At 38.8% G+C, this 18665-nt stretch overlaps 1 protein-coding gene across 4 annotated transcripts in view; it reads left to right on the plus strand.

Annotated features, from left to right (window-relative positions):
• Positions 1-18179, plus strand: part of WDR44 (WD repeat domain 44) — a 103889-nt gene extending 85710 nt beyond the window's left edge. For 2 of the 4 annotated variants that reach the window (NM_019045.5, XM_011531353.4), the window contains 8 exons: positions 999-1112; positions 4920-5042; positions 9586-9777; positions 10462-10563; positions 10783-10898; positions 11778-11905; positions 12578-12712; positions 17111-18179. In NM_019045.5, the coding sequence (NP_061918.3) occupies positions 999-1112; positions 4920-5042; positions 9586-9777; positions 10462-10563; positions 10783-10898; positions 11778-11905; positions 12578-12712; positions 17111-17205 (1005 nt within the window). In that variant the 3' untranslated portion in view covers positions 17206-18179. The remainder of the gene's footprint in view (positions 1-998; positions 1113-4919; positions 5043-9585; positions 9778-10461; positions 10564-10782; positions 10899-11777; positions 11906-12577; positions 12713-17110) is intronic. The other 2 variants (NM_001184965.2, NM_001184966.1) reach the window with 2 other exon arrangements.

The raw sequence follows: 18665 nt of genomic DNA on the forward strand, positions 1-18665 counted from the left end.
ACTTACAGTTAGATGACTTGTATTACTGCTTTGGTTCTGCTGTTCACAGGTGGCTGTGTGGCCTTTAATATATTATTTTAACCTCTTTGATCCTCAGGGGTTTGTTGTGTGTTTTGTTTGTTTGTTTGTTTGTTTGTTTTTACTAATTTCTTCATCTTTATACTGTTAATACCTACCTCAAAGAATTGTTAGAATTTATTCAGATAATGAATACGAAAGCACGTTGTAACTAGATGCACAGTACACATGTATGGCATTATTTTCTACCTACCTCTGTCAGTATGCTTTTGACTTCAAATAACAGAAATCCAACTGAAAATGGCTTAAACAATGAGGAAGCAACTCTGGAGGTAAGGCGGTTCCAGGGTTGGTTAATTCAGCAGCTCAGTAGCATCGTCCTACTATCTCCCTGCTTTGTACTCTTTGTTTTGTTCCTTTCGGCTTTTTACACTATGGTCTTAAGATGGCTGCTACAGTCTTAGTTGTCACATGAAGTCAGCAATGTTCAGATGCAGGAAAGGAGGAGTCCTATTAGTATGACCCTCTTTAAGGGTGAGAAAATCTCTCTAGAAGCCTTCCCTCATCCCCACCCCATAAACTTTGCCCAATGTCTAATTCATGGAAATTGTACCACATGCCTAACCAGTCATCACTGGGAAGGGAAATCAGCTAATCTTCATTAGCTTAGACCAATCATGATTCACTCGCTGGTACTGGCCGTCACCTCTCCTGAAGGAACAGATGCTTATTAGGGGCTCTATTAGGGAGGGAAAAGATTGTGACAGCACGATGTCTTCAGGGATGACCCTGGTTTGTTAGGGCAAGGAGATGAAAGGAAGAGGTGCTAAGTAGTAAATCAGCATAAAGGGGAGCTTGCTTTTGGTGACTCAAGATTTCAATCAGGCATCATACAAAATGCTGAGAGAACAGATGGGGTGGGAAGAATGTGAAACTAGTTTTACATTGCAGTTTCAAAGTTTATCTTTATATCCAAATAGGTATGCAGTGGAACTGATGAAGACCCTGATGATAAAAACGCACCCTTTCGGCAACGGCCATTTTGCAAATATAAAGGACATACTGCTGATCTCCTTGATCTTTCATGGTCTAAAGTAAGAAATTCTTATTTGAATCATATAGTAATTCTGCGTATAAGGAGCTGATGCTGTAGTCTTAAAGCAGAATTTCTTCTCCGGGAAACCTCAGTTTTTTGTCTTAAGGCCTTCAACTGATTGGATGAGGCCCACCCACATAGTCAAGGGTGATCTCCTTTACTTAAAATCAACTGATTATAGGTATTAATCACATGTACAGAATACCTTCACAGCAACAACTAGATTGGTGTTTGATTAAATAATTGAGTACTAGCTTAATAATTAAATAATTGAGTATAGCTAAGTTGATACATAAAATTAACTGTTATAACCACCTTCTTACCAGAATTAACACCTTTTCTTTGAACTCATTCTCCTTAACCTTTCTCTAGCATTTGATGATTTGATGCTATTGATCTTTCTTGAACTACTTGATTTTGGAGCACTGTATGTTCTAGATTCCCTTCCTATCTCACTGACTATTCCCTTGTTTCCTTCATGGAGGAAATATGTAATAGTTAAAAAAAAAAATTGAGAACCTGTGCAACTATACCTGCTATGTACCAAGTACTTTTCATTCACTCAAAACATATCTGTTGATCATTTTACCACCTGGTTAAGAAATGACCCCTGGAGCCAGACTCCCAAGGTACATATTCTTCCTAGTCTGCCCCTTACATTATGTGACCTTGGGCAAGTTATTTAACCTCACCATGCCTCATCTGCAAAATAGACATAATAAAAATACCTTCCTCATAGTGTTATAACAGGGAAAGATTAACTGAGCTAGTAAATATAAAGCACTTGCCTAGAACATAATAAATGTTCAATTAATATTAGCAGTGATGATAATGATTAACTGAGCTAGTAAATATAAAACACTTGCCTAGAACATAATAATGCTCAGTTAATATTAGCAATGATCGTCATCATCATCATCATCACTATCTGCCAAGTAGCATTTTAGCCACTGGGGACACAGACAAAAGTTAAGTACTTTACATGTGCTCTGTTCGTACCCTCAAAACAACCTTATGCGATTGTTGATGTTTCCTTATCAAGGATTTAAAACCAAGGGTCATACGTGTTAAAGAACATGCTTAAAGGCGTATAGCTAGGGAGATACGGGAGTTTAGGTTCAAACCCTATGACTTCGGAGCATTACTCTCTAGCCCATTCCAGTGTCACAGTAGCTAATCACTACAAGGAAACAGGATGACAAAAATAACAAATGTTGGACACGTTGAAAGATTTAAGAAATCATAAATTTTTTATACTTTCCGTTTTATACTTTATTTCCATTCTATCTCTTAGGAGGCAGCAGTAATATGATTTAGTATCTATCCAGCTACCTAATTGTCTCAAGTGAGTAATGTGCATTTTTAAGGACTGGTGCCAGCCTATAAACCACCTGGTCTTCCTGGTCCTTGACGATACAAATATAGAATACCAGTCTGTGAAGAGATAAGTGCAGAAACCAAGAGTAAACTATTTAGAAGTGTTTATGGCAGTTTTCACAATAAGTTTATACCTGTTTAATCTTTTAAAACTTGGGCTTCTATTTTGTATAATAATACAAAATGGGGCTTTTATTTTATATGACTTTTATTTTTATTTCATTTTTCTAGTAAATGTTTTCTGTATTTTAAAATAGTTTCAGTCCACAACTCATTGGAAATTTAAAAAAACAAAAACAATCCTTCACCAGAAATAGTCTGAGAAGCACTAGTCTAGATGAGTTATTTCAATGAGGTGCTGCCCCATGCAGGAATGGTTCCTAAAGGTCTATCCTCATATCCCCAACCCCTCCACCCCACCTCCATCCAGAGGAAAGGAACAAAATTTCTGCAACAAGATTCTAAGCCTCTCCAGGGTAGGAACCAGATATTATTTTACTGTTTTTTGCTTTTCAAACACCAACTCAAACCAGATATTGTTTCTCTTTAATGTCTATCACAGTGTTTTTAGTGAGTTTTCTATTTGTTGAAGGTGTATTTTGTGCCAATAACAAGAATTACCGTGTTAATTCTTACAATAACAACCCCGTGAGGTAGACAACCTGATTTTGTCTCGAGGAAGAGATTGAGCCCCTGTGACCTATCTAAAATCACAAAATTAGTTATGGGTAGAACTTAGATTTTAATCTAATTTATCTGACTTCTAAGATCAGTGCTTAGTTTAAGAACGTTATTTAATTTCGTTTATTTAATAAAAAGTATTTATTAAATACTTATAAAAGAACAAGTCTTTCTTAAAGAATACTTATTTGGAACAAGTCTTAACATGTCTTCAGCACCTTCACTTAATATTTTAGGGATGTCTTCATACCTCTTTCATATGCTCAAAGCAATGAGCTATTGCAGGAATTGAATACAGTCAGTTTCTGTTTTTTGTTTTTTTCTTCTGTTTTCTTTTTTTTGAGACAGAGTCTCGCTCTGTTGCCAAGGCTGGAGTGCAGTGGCACGATCTCAGCTCACTGCAACCTCCATCTCCCAGGTTCAAGCGATTCTCCTGCCTCAGCCTCCCCGAGTAGCTGGAATTACAGGCGTGGGCCACCACGCCCAGCTAATTTTTTTTTTTATTTTTAGTGGAGATGGGGTTTCACCATGGTGGCCAGACTGATCTCGAACTCCTGACCTCAAATGATCCACCTGCCTCAGCCTCCCAAAGTGCTGGGATTACAGGCATGGGCCACTGTGTCCAGCCAAATAAAGTCAGTTTTAATGAACATAGGTTCATGGTGTGCCATAGGTTAAGTTTTTATACAGTTGGTATTAATCAACAGGAAATTATAATGCAAACTGCATATACTCTTAAAAACTTTTCTGGAACTGAGTGGATCTTGAAAATAAAAATGATTGTTAGATATTTCAAAGATTATTGTAAATTTCCAAATTCTGTTTTTTAATTCTTTACTTTTAATCATAAAGTATACCATCTATTTGAAAACAGGTATACCACAATGTACCTACTTCATAGTGTTGCTATATAATGCGAAGAACAATGCTTAACACATCGTAAGTATGCGATCAATGTCACCATTGCCTTGATTTGTTTAGCACCTTTAGGCACACCAAAGAATACAGAGGTATCATTTGAGTTTTCTCATTCAGTATAACTCATAGTTCTCCTCCTTAAATAGATTATGTTGAGGAATTAATGAGCTTCTGCCAGCTGAAAGCTTTTGACAGATAGATGTTTGTTTCCTGGGCGATGGGGCCATCACGGTGCCTAAGTCAGTTACACTACCATCTTCTAGCCTTGAACATTCTGTGATCTATTCTGAAAGATTTGACAATTTCTATTCTCTAATTTTCTTGCCTAGAGTGTGACAGGTGCACAATAACTTTTCATTTCCATGCTGCATTATAGGGTAATCTTTTTGAAGACATTTTAAATGACAATTAGAGATCTATGTGAGTTAAAATTCACCAGTGTTATCAATGTGAAAATAACTGAAGTGACAATAAAATGAATAGATGCCTTATACTGATAGCTAAGTTCCAATATGTGCAGGTGATAACAACTAAGGCACACCTTAGTTCTCTGCTGGTGCCTGGCAGATTTCTTTAGACATTGATAAGATTCATCTGAATTTCAGAACAGGTAATGTCAAAAAGTTTTAGAATCAGTGAAATATGGTACTTAACTGTTTGGGGGAAAATAGGATCTTCCAAGTGAATTTGATAATCTTTTGTTCTTTCCGATGCTGCATTTAACAATAACAAAACTGTTGAGATACAAAAACCAAAAGTTCACTTTTATTGTATAAATAGGGTTCTTTTTCATATAGTGATAACATAGTCAATGTCATTTTCCCCATAGAACTACTTTCTTCTTTCTTCTTCAATGGATAAAACAGTCAGATTATGGCACATTTCTCGAAGAGAATGCCTTTGCTGTTTTCAACATATAGATTTTGTCACTGCCATAGCTTTTCATCCAAGAGTAAGTAACTATTTATACATGTTTTTGTTAACCTCTAAGGAAGGTGAGAGAACCTGATTTCTCTAGAGGGCAATTGGACTACAGGAAAAAAATTATTAACAGCTACATAGTTATGAGCAATTTAATTTTGTGTTTCATTTTGCTTTAGAAATGAGAAAGGAAATATTCTGCTGATCTGCATTAGAAAAACTGGGGATATTATATCCTAAATCTTTATTAAGACATGCAAGGTATAAATAAATGAAATAAAGTATCCTATTAAAGATGAGAGATATTGGAGATGGAGGAAGAAGAGACAGCAGATGGATAAATGAGAAAGGGAAGTACCTAGGCAGAAATAATGAGAAGATTGGGGAGGGAAGAGACAGAGAAAAAGACTGAAAGAGGCAAAGACGAAAATTCATTACAAGATACACTGAATTCATATTGTTAGTCTTGATATCCCTTCTTTATTCCTTTTCAGTATAGAAAATCCTTTCATATCTTTCCCCCAGAAATAAAGTATTTCATATGATTTCAGCCAAATGAGAAAAATCTGCTGTCATGGAATTGCAGACCTATTGTATGCCCTTAGAGGATGGAGCCACCAAATGCTTAAGGCTAAATTAGTTACAGATTTTTGCAACTGTAAGCAAAAGGGAAATCACATGTTGGTGCTGACTGCACTAGCTCTATTAAGCAGAGGACTCGAGCTGACCCTAGCAACAAGTTTCCCTTACCTAAGTTGGTGTTATGATTACATTTCCAGTGGTGTCCTCATCTTTATATGTTTAACACACATTATCTTTTTAATGTAACATTTTAATCATATTCACATTTCTTCATCTCCCCCAAATTAAGAAGACTGACTTGTTTTCAATATACTTTCCTTCCCTGAGCAGGCTTGTAACATAAGCAGTGATAATTCCGAACCCTTGAAGACTTGGTTAAGGGCCAGGCGCGGTGGCTCACACCTGTAATCCCAGCACTTTGGGAGGCCAAGGTGGGCAGATCACGAGGTCAAGAGATCAAGACCAACCTGGCCAACATGGTGAAACATTGTCTCTACTAAAAATACAAACGTTAGTCAGGCATGGTGGCAGGTGCCTGTAGTCCCAGCTACTCGGGAGGCTGAGGCAAGAGAATCACTTGAACCCAGGAGGCAGAGGCTGCAGTGAGCTGAGATCGCGCCAGCCTGGGCAATAGAGCGAGACTCTGTCTCAAAATAAAAAAAAAAAAAAGAGGAAGAAGACTTGGTTAAGAATTTTGGTGGCTCACGCCTATAATCTCCGCACTTTGGGAGGCTGAGGTGGGAGGATGGCTTTAGGCTGGGAGTTCAAGACCAGCCTGGACAACACAGTGAGACCCCACCTTTATCACACACAAAAAAACTATGTTAATTCTTACCAGTTTTGATGATCAAGTCATTAGAGTCCTGTTTCTGAATAACACCCCCATCCCTGTTCCCTATACACACAACAAAAGGATGGATTTACCCCATCAGCAACTGTGAGCAAAATCTTTCCATCCATAAATCTTTCCATAACTATTTTAGCTATAAAGTATCAGCTTGGAAAGAGATATTTGGTTGTGTTCGTTTTCTTTCTCTTTCTTTTCTTTTCTTTTCTTTTTATTTATCTATTTTTGGAGACAGGGTATCACTTTGTCACCCAGGCTGTAGTGCAGTGGTGCAGTCTTGGCTTACTGCAGCCTCAACTTCCCTGGCTCGGGTGATACTCCTGCCTCAGCTCCCCAGGTAGCTGGGACTACAGGCATGCACCACTATGCCTGCACTATGCCTAGCTAATTTTTGTATTTTTAGTAGAGACAGGGTATTGCCATGTTGCCCAGGCTGGTCTCAAACTCCTAGGCTCAAAGCGATCTGCCCACCTCGGCCTCCCAAAGTGCTAGGATTAAAAGCATGAACCACTGCACCCATCCAGTTGTTTTCCATGTGGTATTTTATTATTTATTAAACTTTCTGTTCAGCCATGTTTTTTTTTTTTTTTTTTTTTGAAGACAGTCTCCAGGCTGGAGTGCAGTGGCACAATCTCGGCTCACTGCAACCTCCACCTCCCGAGTTCAAGCAGTTCTGCCTCAGCCTCCCAAGTAGTTGGGATTACAGACATGCACCACCACATCCAGCTAATTTTCATATTTTTATTAGAGATAGAGTTTCACCATGTTGGCCAGGCTGGTCTACAACTCTTGACCTCAAGTGATCCGCCTGCCTCAGCCTCACAAAGTGCTGGAATTACAGACGTGAGCCACTGCGCCTGGCCCAGCCAATGATTTTTTATAGTGCTTTTATTTGGTTTTATTTTGGAAACTATAAAGCCCTATTTCTAAAAATCGTACTGACCTGGAGTGTTTTTAAGAGGGGCTAGGAAAGAATAGGGTAGTGATGCCTTTTTTTGGGGGGGAAATATGACTTTTATTATAATGTTAAAGGAAGAAAGGTAGCAGAGTTAGAAAAGAAATAGCAAAATGGGCCAGGCGTGGTGGCTCATGTCTGTAATCCCAGCACTTTGGGAGGCCGAGGCGGGTGGATCACCTGAGGTCAGGAGTTCAAGACCAGCCTGGCCAACATGGTGAAAACCTGTCTCTAATAAAAATACAAAAATTAGCCGGCCGTCGTGTTGCATGCCTATAATCCCAGCTACTCAGGAGGCTGAGGCAGGAGAATTGCTTGAGCCAAGGAGGCGGAGGTTGCAGTGAGCCAAGATTGTACCACTGTACCCCAGCCTGAGTGACAGAATGAGACTCCGTCTCAAAAAAAAAGGAATAGCAAAATGGAGATACACATACATAGATGTATGTATGTGACAATTCTGAATTAGAAGACTAAGTTAAAGTATTTTTACTTGTTCACCTCTTCTACTGGTACACATTGAGTGAGCTTACATTATTTGTAGATTGTCTTTGACAGGTTTCAGAGATGGGTAAGAATAATAATCTTTGGCAAGGAACAGAAACCCTTAGGGCAGGGGGATTTGGGGTGGGGGAAGGAAAAAAAAAGAAGAAGAAGAATCTTGGCTGGGTATGGTGGCTCACTCCTATAATCCCAGCACTTTGGGAGTTTGAGGCAGGAGGATCACTTGAGGCCAGGAGTTTGAGACTAGCCTGGGCAACATAGGGAGACCCCATTTTTATAAAAAAATTTAAAATTAGCCCGGTATGGTGGTGTGCTTCTGTGATCCCAACTACTTGGGAGGCTGAGGTGAGAGGATTACTTGAGCCCAGGAGGTCGAGGCTGCAGTAAGCCGTGATCGAGCCTCTGTACTCCAGCCTGGGCAACAAACTGAGACCCCATCACCAAAAAAAAAAAAAAAGAAAGAAAGAAAGAAAAATTCTTATGTTGCCAAAAACAAAACAAGCTTAGTGGTAGGACTGATTTAGTTTAAAGGAGATTTCTCAATCCTAGTACTATTGACATTCTTTGTTACACGGGGGAGAGTAGGCTGTGCGTTATAGGATATTTAGCAGCATCCCTGGTCTCTACACACTAAATACTGGTAGCATCCTGATCCTCCCACCAGTTTTGACAACCAAAATGTCTCCAGATAATGCTAGATGTCCCCTGCAAGGTCAGATTGCCGCAGGTTGAGAACCGCTGATTTGAGAGCAGAATTTGAATGATGAAGTAATTCTCTGTTGACATGGTGTTAGAGTTCCAAAAATGACTGGTTTTGGGGGCCACTAACTGATGTTACTCTTTATCCAAGTGTTACATGTATCCCAGAGGAAGGTATGATATAGGATAGTGTTTCCCATAGCATGTTCCTGAAAGGTCTAGCACCTCCCGTAAACACGCCCCCCCAAAAAAAGTCTGTGGTTAAATATGTTGAAAAGTGCTACCTACTTTATCCTGTTTGGAGATTCAAAATGCAGGTTAACTGAGAATCATGTTTAACTTTTTGTAACCCAGAATTTCTCAAACTTATTTGATCACAGAACCTTCTTCCATGCAATACACACTCAAACACTTTATCTATTGACATCCATATCTTGCAAAACAGCAGTTTAAGGATATGATAATTAGAATTTTATTTCTCCAAAGTGAATAGTGAGGTTTCTTATTGTTGTTACTGCTTTCAGTGCATAAAATAATGCTTGCTTAAAGAATAAAAATTTTTAAATGAAATCTTTTTTTTTTTTTTTTTTTTTTTTTTTTTGAGACGGAGTCTCACTCTGTTGCCAGGCTGGAGTACAGTGGTGCGATCTTGGCTCACTGCAACCTCCACCTCCTGGGTTCAAGCGATTCTCCTGCCTCAGCCTCCCGAGTAGCTGGGACTACAGCCGCGCACCACCATGCCCAGCTAATTTTTATATTTTTACTAGAGACGAGGTTTCACCATATTGGCCAGGATAGTGTCGATCTCTTGACCTTGTGATCCACTGCCTTGGCCTCCCCCAAAGTGCTAGGATTATAGGCGTGAGCCACCGCACCTGGCCCTGAAATCTACATTTTTAAACTATTCTAATAGACTTACTGATTTGATTTGCTAATGAGTTTTTTCTTGATGTGGTAAAATGAAAACTTTCTCTGTTGCCACCTCTTTAGGATGACAGGTATTTTCTAAGTGGGTCTTTGGATGGAAAGCTCCGCCTTTGGAACATACCTGACAAAAAAGTGGCTTTGTGGAATGAAGTAGATGGTCAGACAAAATTGATCACAGCTGCAAATTTCTGTCAGAATGGCAAATATGCAGTGATTGGGACATATGATGGCAGATGTATTTTCTATGATACAGAGGTAAATGATTGTTTTTTGTAAATTATATAATTGTATACTTAGTAAACACTTTCATGGTTTTGGACAAGTTGCTTATCCCCTCTGGGCTTTAACTGCATTTTCTCTAAATAGAGACAAATAATACCATGTCTGTCTTAAGAGTTGGAACAGATGACTTTTGAGATGTCTTCTAATTCTAATTTAAAAAAAATTTTTTTTTGAGATGGAGTCTCACTCTGTTGCCCAGGATGGAGTGCAGTGGAGCGATCTCGGCTCACTACAACCTCTACCTCCTGGATTCAAGTGATTCTTGTGCCTCAGCCTCCTGAGTAGCTGGGACTATAGGCACGTGCCACCACACTCAGCTAATTTTTGTATTTTTTGGTAGAGATGGGATTTCAACGTGTTGGCCAGGCTGGTCTCGAACTCCTGACTTCAAGTGATTAACCTGCCTCAGCCTACCAAAGTGCTGGGATTATAGGCGTGAGCCACCACGCCCAAGCAAAAAGAATTTTTTTATAGAGACAAAGTCTCATTCTGTCACCCAAGTTAGAGCGTAGTGGTGCAATTGTTGCTCACTACAGCCTCGAACTCTTGGGCTCAAGCAGTCCTCCTGCCTCAGCCTCCTGAGTAGCTAGAGTTACAGATACGAGCCACCACACATGCTCCTAATTCTAATATGTTAAATGTATGGTTTATTTTTAGCATTTGAAATACCATACACAAATACATGTCCGATCTACTAGAGGGCGCAACAAGGTTGGAAGAAAAATTACTGGCATTGAGCCTTTACCTGGAGAAAATAAGGTACTACAGTATTCAAAACCATCTCTCTCCATACTATATGTAGATTCTTGAAAGTTCTTAATATCTTGGCAAAAAAATGTATTCTCTTTGTTGTGGAATACCGCTTTTCTTCTAGTTTTGAGGTATATTAGTTTGTATGTGTGTAACACCCTTTTTGGGTTGTAGCTTAGCTTGTACTAAAAGATGATATTTTTAACTTTTCATTTGATCTACTTTTAGATATTGGTAACCTCAAATGACTCCAGAATCAGACTATATGATTTGAGAGATTTGTCACTATCCATGAAGTATAAGGGTTACGTCAATAGCAGCAGCCAGATCAAAGCAAGTTTCAGGTAAATTGGCAATGAGATGTTCCCAAAAGAGATCAGGACATTTCTCCCCTAGTTCCATTTTTCCATTGGTCTATGCCTTATGTTTAATGGGGTTCTTTTCACTTTTGCAAGTAGTAGTTTATTATCATGCAATACGTACCTTGTCCACCTATATAGTATATAGAATTCGAATTGACCCTGTTCTGCAAATGAAGAAACCAAGACTCAGAAAATTAAGTGATTGGCCTAAAGTCATGGTTGTAGAGCCAAGATTATGAAGACTCTCATCTCTAGAGTTTTTGCTTTTGTACCTTTGTTTACGCTTTTAAGAGGGGGCTTACGGCTCATCCCGCCACTCCCCTCCCTGCCCCATTGTCTTGAACCTTTTAGGAAAGGAAGGAACCTTTTAGGATTCTAAGAAAGCATTTTAACACCCCACAGCACAGGGTCTTGTATTCAAAACTTTACATATCATTATTATTTAAATTTCTAATTTGGGTTCTGGACACTCTCCTGAAATAGGGTTAGCTACCTTTTCTTCTTTCTAGCCCTCTTCTTTTGCCGTTTTCTTACCAGTTCTTTTTTCTTGAATTATACATTAATTAATTCAATTGGTAAAGTATTCTGCTCCTGTCTTTCACACCTTAAATCATCATTCCTCCCAACGTGGATTAACTAACATCACAGTTACTTAGAGCTTTGATGCAAATACAAGTGCCAGGCCACTACATCACACGTACACATTTAGAACATCTAGAGTGAGACCATGGGTCTACATATTCAACAAGACCCTTCAAGTGTTATTTTAGGTATCACAAAGTAGGAAGCACTGATAAAGGAAACCTTTAAACATATACACACACACATTTTATTTGCTTTTCCTTTCTCCCCAAAATTCAGCCATGATTTTACTTACCTCGTTAGTGGTTCAGAAGATAAGTATGTTTATATCTGGAGTACCTACCATGACCTAAGCAAGTTTACTTCAGTCAGGAGAGATCGTAATGACTTCTGGGAAGGTATTAAAGGTAAGTACATACTTGCTTTTGTGTGTCTTATAAGAGAATCAAGTTACAGTGGATATATACTAGAAGTAAATTCATGACCGGACACAGTGGCTCACGCCTGTAATCCCAGCACTTTGGGAGGCCCATACGGGTGTATCACGAGGTCAGGAGATCGAGACCATCCTGGCTAACACGGTGAAACTCTGTCTCTACTAAAAATACAAAAAAAATTAGCCGGGCATAGTGGCACACGTCTGTAGTCCCAGCTACTTGGGAGGCTGAGGCAGGAGAATCGCTGGAACCTGGGAGGTGGAAATTGCAGTGAGCCGAGATGGCACCACTGCACTCCAGTCTGGGCAATAGAGTGAGATTCCGTCTAAAAAAAAGACAAAAAAAAAGAAGAAGTAAATTCATTTAGGCATTATTTTAGAGAGGCAGTTTGACAATGATAAAGTGCCTTGCATTTGGCTTTGCTTGTTTTATCTATACTAAGGAAGAACTTTGGTCTAAAATTTGAGAAGTCAGGGAATTTCAGAACTTATATGTGATTTTTTTTAGAAAAATTTTTGGGTTTTAAATCACTCTTAGTTACTTCTATGTTAGTTTTTAAGGATATTTGGCATATAACATACACTATCGTGTTTGTCTTGGTATCCAATTTGTCAGTTATCCTGAAGTAAATTTTTTCCACAGCCCACAATGCAGTTGTTACATCAGCCATCTTTGCACCAAACCCAAGTTTGATGTTATCTTTGGATGTGCAATCTGAAAAATCAGAAGGGAACGAGAAAAGTGAAGATGCTGAAGTTTTGGATGCCACACCTTCTGGTAAATCTTTACTTGTCCTATATTTTTTTCTAGTCAGCACTTAGTAGCCTCATTTATCTCATTTGAGTATAATAAGGTTTTCACTAGTATAAAGAATATTTCTTTTTTCTTTTTTCTTAAGACAGGGTCTTGCTCTGTCACCCAGGCTGGAGCGCAGTGACGCAGTCACACACAGCTCACTGCAGCCTCAACCACCCTGGACTCAGGTGATCCTTCCACCTCAGCCTCCCAAGTAGCTGGGACTATGGGCCTACACCACCATGCCCAGCTAATTTTTGTATTTTTTGTAGAGATGGGATTTCACCATGTTGCCCAGGCTGGTCTCAAACTTCTGGGCTCAAGCAATGCACCCACCTCAGCCTCCCAAAGTGCTGGGATTACAGGCATGAGCCACCAAAGAATATTTCTTGTTTGCAACTTAATGGTTGTCAGATATCCATTTCTGAACTTTTCAGTAATATATTTCCTCAAAGTTTTACCTGTTTTAAATTCACCTGAGAATTAAAAATGAGAAATTTGGGCCTGGTGCGGTGGCTCACACCTGTAATCCCAGCACTTTGGGAGGCCAAGGCAGATGGATCACGAGGTCAGGAGATCGAGACCATCCTGGCTAACACGGTGAAACCCCGTCTCTACTAAAAATACAAAAAATTAGCCGGGCATGGTGGCGGGTGCCTGTAATCCTAGCTACTCGGGATGCTGAGGCAAGAGAATGGTGTGAGCCCGGGAGGCAGAGCTTGCAGTGAGCTGAGATCGCGCCACTGCACTCCAGCCTGTGTGACAGAGCAAGACTCCATCTCAAAAAAAGAAAAGAGAAATTTGGATGTTCATAACTATGGGTAACCATTCTCTTTAGAGAAGTGCAAACAATATATGCAAATGTAAAACTTCTTTATTACCTGTCTCTCCTACTAGTCTGTAATCTCTAGAAGACAGAGACTTTTCATGTCTTATTTATTGCTGTATTGCCAGTGTCTCTCACAATGCTTGCCTACACATAGTAGGTGCTTGATGAACATGTGCTGACTAAATGAATTAAACCCAAATGAAGCAGGGCTAATTTTTCTACTTGCCACAAGTTAACAGCTTCTTGAGATAGGTGGCTATTTACAAGTTTGTAATTTCTTGCCATTTGTAGCATATATGCTTTGAGAATGAATATTAATTCCAGTTATATACAATGCTCATATTAGGAAGGGAGAAGAAACTGTCAGCAAGTAATATTGAGTGCCAATCAGTTATATAAAAATCTGGGCCAGGTGCGGTGGCTCACGCCTGTAATCCCAGCACTTTGGGAGACCAAGGCAGGCGGATTATGAGGTTGAGAGTTCGAGACCATCCTGGCCAACATGGTGAAACCCCGTCTCTACTGAAAAACTGCAAAAATTAGCTGGGCGTGGTAGTGCACGCCTGCAGTCCCAGCTACTCAGGAGGCTGAGGCTGGAGAATCGCTTGAACCAGGGAGGTGGAGGTTGCAGTGAGCCGAGATCACGCCACTGCACTCCAGCCTGGTGACAGAGGGAGACTCCATCTCAAAAAAGAAAAAAAAAAAAAAAAAAGACCAAGGTGAGCAGATTGCTTGAGGTCAGGAGTTCAAGACCAGCCTGGCCAACATGTTGAAACCCTGTCTCTACTAAAAATACAAAAAGTGGCCAGGTATGGTTGCACACCTCTGTAATCCCAGGAGGCTGAGGCAGGAGAAGTGCTTGAACTCGGGAAGGTGGAGTTTTCAGTGGGCTGAGATTGCACCACTGTACTCCAGTCTGGGTGACACAGCAAGACTCTGTCTAAAAATATATATATATGGCAGGCGTTGTGGTATGTACCTGTAATCCCGGGTATTTGGGAGGCTGAGGCAGGAGGTCTTGAGCCCGGGCAACATAGAAGACCAGCCCGGGCAACATAGAAGGACACCCAACTCAAAAAATATATATATGATTCTTTTTTAATTTTTAAATCGATTGCATAATAGTTTATTGACTGTATTGTCTCATGCTACAGATTACAAACAGGTCATAAAGCCACAGGAATAGATACAGTGTACAAAGAGTGCTTCTAAAGTATTTGAATGGTAAAAAGTTATCAAGTACTTTAATCTCAAGTAATTTTTTTGTAGTATTATTTGGACTATCTACTCCACTCATGACACTTTTCCTTCTGTCTGTGAAGAAAAATTTTGATAACAAAGATGAACTTCAGTCTAGCATTTCTTTCAGTACAAGATACAAAAATAAACCAAGTTAGAATGATTAAACCTTTACTAAATGCCTGTTTAACTGCTGTCTGTTTTCTTTTTCTTTCCTTCTCAGAATCACATCCAGCTTCTGTCTTCTAACTTAAGTCATTTACGTTTTTTCTTTTTTTTTTTAACTTATGAATGAATGAATGAATGAATGACATGGTGTCGCTCTGTTGCCCTGGCTAGAGTGCAGTGGTACAATCATAGCTCACTGCAACGTTGAACTCCTGTGCTCAAGCAATCTTCCTGCCTCAGCATCCCGAGTAGCTAGGACTACACGTACTACCATGCCTGGCTAATTTTTTTTTTTTTTTTCTTTTTGCTAGCAATGAGTTCTCGTTATGTTGCCCAGGCTGGTCTCGAACTTCTAGCCTCAAAAAGGTTAGTCCTACTTTGGCCAAAGTACTGGGATTACAGGCATGAGACATCATACCTGGCCTTTTTTTCTTTTCTTTTCTTTTTTCCCCAGTGCTACCTTTTTACATTCCATATACTTCCCCTGCATATTCCACAGGAAATTCTAGCTTTTAAAACAATTTGAGGAAAAGTAAAAAGTACAGGGTTTTTTTTAACTTCTCAAAAATATACCACATTAACAAGGTTCAGTTAACTAACTGGGTCCTTTTTTAAGAGGCACAAATTTTAGTGGATTGTACTCAGATTTGTGTTTGTCATTTTGTACCCATGTAGGTGTAGTCTAAGAATAAGCTCTCTTAAACCCAAAATGTGGGATCACAAAATATATTCAATTCCCCTCTCTCTTTGTTCCTGACGTGTTTGGCAATTCAAGCCTCAATTTTCCTTATGTGTAAAATAATGATGATAACCTAGTTTATAGAGTTTCAATAAGAATTAGATATGACATGTATAGGCTGGGCATGGTGGCTCATGCCTGTAACCCCAACATTTTGGGAGGCCAAGGCAGGAGGATCACTTGAGACCAGGAGTTTGAGACCAGCCTGGACAACATAGCAAGACCCTGTCTTCACAAAAAATTAAATAATTAGTCGGGCACAGTGGCGCATGCCTGTAGGGAGGCTGAGGTGGAAGGATCCTTTGAGCCCAGGAGTATGAGGTTACAAGAAAGCTATGATGGTGCCACTGCATTCCAGCCTGTGCAACAGAGTGAGACTCTATCTAAAATATATATATATATATATATATATATATATATATATATACTTGTATGTGTAAAAGTGCCTAGCAAAATGCCTGGCATGTAGTAGGCATTATTGTTATCATTTTCATTATTATTGTGTCTTACAAAGCATTTTATATGTATGGTGAATTATTTTCTTCTCTATCCTTTCTCATATTCCTAAGTTCTTTGCTGCTGCTACTACTGCACAGCACTGCTGTGAGATATGCCAAAAGGGTGGTAAAGGAATGTTCAAAGGCTTAGGATATGTTTTTAGCACATCTAAGTGAAACCATTTTGTGTGACTCATCCTGTCCACAACTTTCCAATTAAAGTTTGGATTATTTTCTTCTTTTTTAAATCTCAAATTAAAATCTCAGTTTTCACCTATGTATAATAGAGTTAGTTAACACTGAATTTTTTTATTAAGTGCTTTTATGCAACTGGCAAATGTAAGAGGTAAGCATTTATGCCATTCAGCATAGTTATATAGCTTTTCAGTAAGGACCATATGGCAAAAGGTGCTGTCAGCATTCACACAGCAAACGTGTGTACTTCATTTCATGGCAGTTTCAGTATGTCTGCTATACAATAAACCTTACTGGCAACCTCGCTAGACACCCCTGTTAGCAACAGACTTGCCCAGCTGATCCGATTCTGCCAGCACTCCAGTCCTGGGGCTGAATGACACACTAGCTTCTTGCCATGCAATGAAGCATTAGATGACTTAGATGCCTAGGCTGCCTAGGAATAGGTCCAAGCATCCAGGCCCCAAGAGACTGTAATATCCTCAAGCCAGGGAAAGACCAGCTAAGACAAGGTAAGTGAAAGTGAGCCTCAGAGCAGAGGAGAGATTCAGCAGAATGAAAGAATTACAGGAGCCAGCCAGAAAAGGAGACTGAAAAGGTGGGGAGATGATCTTCTCCCCTGAAGCTGGAGGGTCATGGGCATGTGATAATTGTGGCAGCAGGCTTCATATTCCTTTAAAAATCAACTTAAAACTATTTTTTATACTTTTAAGGTATTATGAAGACAGATAACACAGAAGTTCTTCTCTCTGCTGACTTCACTGGAGCAATCAAAGTGTTTGTTAATAAAAGAAAAAATGTATCTTAATTTGAAATGGCATTTAAAATAAACATATCAGTAAGTTTCTATATGTATCAAAACTGAAAAAATAGTGTTCCAGGCTAACATACTTTTTTAATTTTTATTGAAAGTTGTTCAAATATAATATATTTTTTGAGAGGCAGTGTTAATGATCTAGGAAACCCTGGGCTGATAGAGTAGAAAGGAATATGGCTAGAATAACATTGCCAAACATTAGGCTTTATGTTTTGTTATGTTTGTGTTTTCGTTGTATAATTATGAACATGCACAAGTTTCTGCATGAAAAGATATTAATATATTAATCACATGTATGTGCCTTTTGGTTACATGCATTAAATCTAACAGAGTTAAATTATTTCAGTGGCTCTTTTGGCCTCTTACTAGGGGGGATAGTCTTGTTTCTAGCTTAAACAATTTTTTTTTTGCACAAAATTTCATTTTTAATAAAAGTGGTATCTTTTGACTGAGTTATTGTTTTGAAAATGGTATATAGGTTTCCAGTAGGTCAACAACCATATGTAAATGGTTTTTATAAATTTCTCAATTTGGGGACAAGATTTTTTTGTGGTCTAAATTGTGGGCTTAAGATTCTTTTCTTTATATGTGTACATATAATTTTTTTTTCTTTGCCACACTGGAGCACAATGTTTCTATGTAAAGAATTATTTTCATTCTTTATCCATGAGCACCAGGCTTTGCTCACTTAAAAAAAAATTAAGCCACATTAAGGAGTGAGTCTTCTTTTTTACAATAATGTAAAAATTAAACTGTTTACATTTTTTTAAAGCATTGTAGTTTTTAAAAATTAAGCTGTTTTGTTTTGTGTTGTTGAATTTGAAAGCCTTTGTAAATATCAATATAATGTACCAATGAAATAACATCTGGGGCAATGAAACCCTGATCATGTTGTTGATGGTTAGCATATGTTTCTGAAAATTAAATATGTATTATTAAAAGTTGGTCTCCAACACTTGTTTAAACATGACTTTATTTTTAATTGACTTCAGTAAATCAAGGAATGCAAGAAAAATAAACTCTTGTTTTAATCATTTAAATTTTAGCAACAGAAGACCAGATTTTAGATCCCTAAATTATAATGCATTAGTTACATGCCTTAAAATTTTTTTAATTCTAGCTTTAAATTGAACAGTGCTAAGAATTCATCTATATGCTTATATGTTCTTTACTGCATTTGTTTTCAGCATGTAAGTGAGAAGTTGGGGAGCCACGGACATATCCTTGTTGATTAGCACGGTCTTAGAGTGTTCTAGGCTTTCTAGTAAATTACATATTATTTGTTGCTTTCTTCTTGCCAGTGCTGTGCTTTCTCCCTCTACCCTTCCCCCTCCCCTCTCCTCATCTCTCTGGTTGCTTTGGCTTCCTCACTCTCCTGTACTCTCCCTGACTGAATTGTTATGCCATTGGCTTTCTAAAAACCAGGCACAGTTTCTTTAATCTCAAGGTCT

The sequence above is a fragment of the Homo sapiens genome, chromosome X, assembly GCF_000001405.40.
Source record: "Homo sapiens chromosome X, GRCh38.p14 Primary Assembly".
In the NCBI taxonomy this organism is placed as follows: domain Eukaryota; kingdom Metazoa; phylum Chordata; class Mammalia; order Primates; family Hominidae; genus Homo; species Homo sapiens.